The following is a 4,515-nucleotide window of genomic DNA, read 5'->3' on the forward strand; positions in this document are numbered from 1 at the left end:
TCCAGTGGGAGGGAGCATCCATCTCTGCAGCCTTAAAAAGCCTCCTGGTGTGTCACTGGTCACCTGCTCATCCCTGTGCTAATCTCTGTGGCCGGAGGAACGCAGTCCATCCCTCGAGTTAGGGTGCAGTCAGCCACTGCCCTAAGCTTTCGGGCTGAGAGTGAAGTCAAGGGGATTTCTTCCCAGGGAAATAGGGGTACTGTTCCTAAAAGAAGGGTAATGACCACAGCGGGCCCAAAACAGTAAGTGTCATACAGGCGTGGTGGCTCACACCTGTAATCCCAGCACAAGGAAGCCAAGGTGAGCAGATTGCTTGAGGCCAGGAATTTGAGACCAACCTGAGCAAAATAGTGAGATCCTGTCTCTACAAAAAATAAAATTAGCTAGGTGGGGTAATGCACACCTGTAGTCCCAGGTACTCTGGAGGCTGAGGCAGGAGCATCACTTGCACCTAGGAGATCAAGGCTGCAGTGAGCTATGATCATGCCACTGCACTCCAGCCTGGACAATAGAGTAAGAGTCTGTCTCTAACAAAAAACAAACAAAAAGTGAGTGTCCAACGCGCCCTGGGCTTGCTGTGTGACCTTGGATAAGAGACTTCACATCCCAAATGCCCAAGTCTTCATCATTGATGAGTATGGCAGAGCTAAAGGTCCCTGAGATTCCATCTGACCTTGACCTCTGATTGTGTGGGCTCTGGCTGCCCTGTCACCCTCTTCCTTGCCACTCCTGTGCCCTTTAACATCATAGCTTGTCCAGTCCTCCAGATCTTTCCACTATAATGTCGAGTGCATACTTCTGGGATCACCTCTGTGAGCTCATTCCTCTTGCTGACAACATGGCTTCTCAGAGGTAGCACACAGGACAACAGCTCCTCAAACCGCACCCTCTGCCAATACTGGGAGCCTCTCCAGAGCGCCTCATCATGCTCGCCACCACCGGCCTTTCAGGCCACAGCCTTCAGAGTCTTCTGTGGATCTCCATCTTCCTTAAGCCCCTGAACCTGCTCTCTTACGGAATTTTGGCCTTTGTTTCCTCCTCTCAGAGTTCTTCTTGCTTGCTCACATCAATGAAGCCAGCTGCCATATTGTGACCACCCCGTGGATAGGCCCATGTGGCAAGGAACGGAGGGTGGCCTAGGGACACATGGCCCACGAGGAGCTGACCCCTGCCAGCAGCCACATGCATGAGCCTGGAGACAGATGCCTCCGCAGCTGAGCCTCGGGGCGAGGTCAGTCCTGGCCAACACCTTGATTGCAGATGGCCAGTTAAGTCATGCCTCAATTCCTGACTCACAGAAACTGATTGAGCTCCAGAAAACCATTGTCAAGAAACAGAGATAGTGGGCATCCTGATCTTGTTCCTTAGCTGTAAGGAAATGAATCTAGGATTTCACTTCACTATTCAGGATGACAGGTTTTGTTTTTTCATCAAATATATACTGTATTTGTCAATGCTCTGCAGAGAAACAGAACCGAGAAAGAGAGAGAGAGAGAGAGAGAGAGTGTGTGTGTGTGTGTGTGTGTGTGTGTGTGTGTGTGAGTGAAGCGAGAGAGAGACATTTTGTTTTTGTTTTTGTTTTTTGAAATGGAGTTTTGCTGTTGTCACCCAGGCTAGAGTGCAATGGCGCAATCTCGGCTCACTGCAACCTCCACCTCCCGGGTTCAAGCAATTCTTCTGCCTCAGCCTCCCAAGCTGGGATTACAGGCACACACCACCATGCCCGGCTAATTTTTGTATTTTTAGTAAAGACAGGGTTTCACCATGTTGGCCAGGCTGGTCTTGTACTCCTGACCTCAGGTGACCCACCCACCTTGGCCTCTCAAAGCACTGGGATTATAGGCGTGAGCCACTGCACCCAGCCAAGACATGTATTGTAAGGAATTAGCTCAACGTGGTGGAGGCTTGGTGAGTCCAGAGTCTGATGGGGCAGGTTGACATGCTGGAGACTGAGGGAGGAGTTGTAGTTGGGGTCCAATGGCACTCTGCCAACAGAATTCCTTCTTGCTGCGGGGAGGTCCGTTTTTGTTCTATTAAGGTCTTCAACTGATTGGTTGAGGCCAACCCACATGGTGGAAGATAATCTACTTTACTCAAAATCCACTAATTTATTTATAATTATTATTATTGTTATAGAGACAGGGTCTCACTTTATTGCCTACTCTGGTCTTGAACTCCTGGCTTCACGCGATCCTCTCCCCTCAGCCTCCCAAAGTGCCGAGATTACTGGTTTGAGCCACTGCATTCAGCCCCAAATCCAGCAATTTAAACGCTCACCTCCCTTCACAGAAACACCTAGAATACTTTTAAACCAAATCTCTGGGCACTGTAGCGCAGCCAATTTGACACATAAAATGAACCAGTACAGTTACCCTACATCAGGTTATGCAGATGCCCTAATTTATTAAGAGCTGTTCATAACTTCCGAGTTTGTGTTGAATTTTATCAAGCAATTACTTTTATATTGTTGTTCTCATTTGTTTATACATTGTTTTTAAAAATTGTAAATTTTCTAATATAAAAGCATTCTTGCATAGTGGAGATAAATCCAACTTGATGAGGAAAAGGGAGCATCTCTCAGTTCATCTTGCTCGCCTTTCCCCCGGCCACAGCCTGTGGTGAGCAGAGGGCAGAGCGCCAGCCTTGTCCTGGGACTGGTGACAGACAGCCTGCTGTCTTCCTGTCTCTGAGCTGGCCCCAGGAAGGGCCCACAGGCTGCAGGAAGAGCACTGTGTGATTTACATAGATGCCTTTGTGTGGGGGCCTGACAGCTGCTGGAGTCACGGTCCTCACCCGGGTCAGGGTGGGGCTGAGAGGGCCTCCGGGTGTTTGGGTAGTCAGGGGCTGGGGTGACAGCAGCTAGTGGGGGGCGGGTATATGAGACAGATAAACATCCACACTCACATGCCAGGTGTGGCTTTGAGCCTCAGCCCAGCCCACTCTCCTTGGCTGTCTGGCTGGCTTTATTGAAAGTTCGCCAAATGGAAAGGGTCTTTTTTTTTTTCTACCATGCCGGCTCACTCTCCAGAGCATCCGTGCCGGCAGTTGGCCAAACCCTGAGGTTGGGAGCACAGTCCTCCAGACCACCACATCTTCTGGGACGCCTGACCTCTGCAGCAGAGGTCACCAAACTGTCCAGTCCGAGGGAACAGTCCCCACAAGACTGCCCCAACTTCAGCCACCAGCCGCAAGTTCAGAGTCCCCAGGGCCACCTTCACTTCAGACCAGCTGGCTGCAAATTTGGGGGTGCTTACAACCACCCTCAGCTTCAGTAATTTTCTAGGGTGACTCACAGAACTCAGGAAAGCACTAACCTTATGATTACAGTTTTATGATCATGAAAAGATACAAATTAAAACCAGCCAAAGGAAGAGAGGCTTAGGGCAGAATCTGGGAGGGGTCCAGTTGCAAGCTTCCAGGGAGGTGTCCTCTCTCTTTGGGGTTCTGGACAGCATTGCCTCCTCTGGGCCGCAATGTGTGAGGATACGCACAGGGTGTTGTCCACCAGGAAAGTCTACCTGAGACTTTGGTGCCCAGAGACTTTACTGAGGCTTGATCAGATGCTGCCTGTGTGACCGACCTTTAGTCTCCAAAGCCCCCCAGCAAACAAAGACACTCCTGTCAGACAGGACATTCCAGGACCCAGAGGTCACCTCCCACTAGCCACGGGCAGAGACTGGACCTCTCTTTGGTGAGGTTAATTCTAAACTACGAATAGGGCACGTTACAAAGTCAGTGCCCAAAGACACAGAGAGGTGTGGCTGTCAGAAGCTCCAGTCCTGGATTTGCCACCTTTGAGGTTAGCAAGTTACTTAATCCCTGTGGACGCCTACCAGCCAGAGGCCAGCAGGAACAGCCCAGTAGCCAAACAAATTTGAGTTAACTGGTACCCATTGCACTAAGAAGACTGTATACTAGGAGGCAGTGCAGTCTCAGTAAGTGTGTGTGTGTGTGTGTGTGTGTGTGTGTGTGGTGGGGGGGTGCTTATTGAAGGATTTGGGCGTTTGTAGGGTGACATTACGAAATGTTCAAGGAAGCAAAGTGTTGCTGTGGATTGGGTGCTGTCAGGGAGTGGGGCGAGTCTATAATTGAGGATCTTCACAATTTTTATCCAGGAGGTGGAAGAACGGGAGGGACGAAAAGCCTGGTAGAGAAACCGCAGTCTCTCACGTGAAACAGGAGAGGGCACTGTTTGGCCATTTTTATGGTTTCACAGTGCCCTCATTTTTTGTCCATGCTCAGGCATATTTATGGAGTGGCCTTGATTCTGTCCTGCTGCGTCACGGGGGCGCGGTGACCCTGCCTGACACAGGTGCTCTGTGAAGTTTGTGTGCATCAGGCGGACACCAGGGACCTGCAGACGAGTCACAGGATGCTTTGTTCTGTTCCTTTCCCAACCCTGAGTTTCATCACTGATAACAAGGAGACGGTAATTCTACCTAACACATTAGGCAAATGTGAGAATTAAGGGGAATAATGTAAAATGCCCAGCATAAAATAAAACACAACAGCTAG

The sequence above is a fragment of the Homo sapiens genome, chromosome 15, assembly GCF_000001405.40.
Source record: "Homo sapiens chromosome 15, GRCh38.p14 Primary Assembly".
In the NCBI taxonomy this organism is placed as follows: domain Eukaryota; kingdom Metazoa; phylum Chordata; class Mammalia; order Primates; family Hominidae; genus Homo; species Homo sapiens.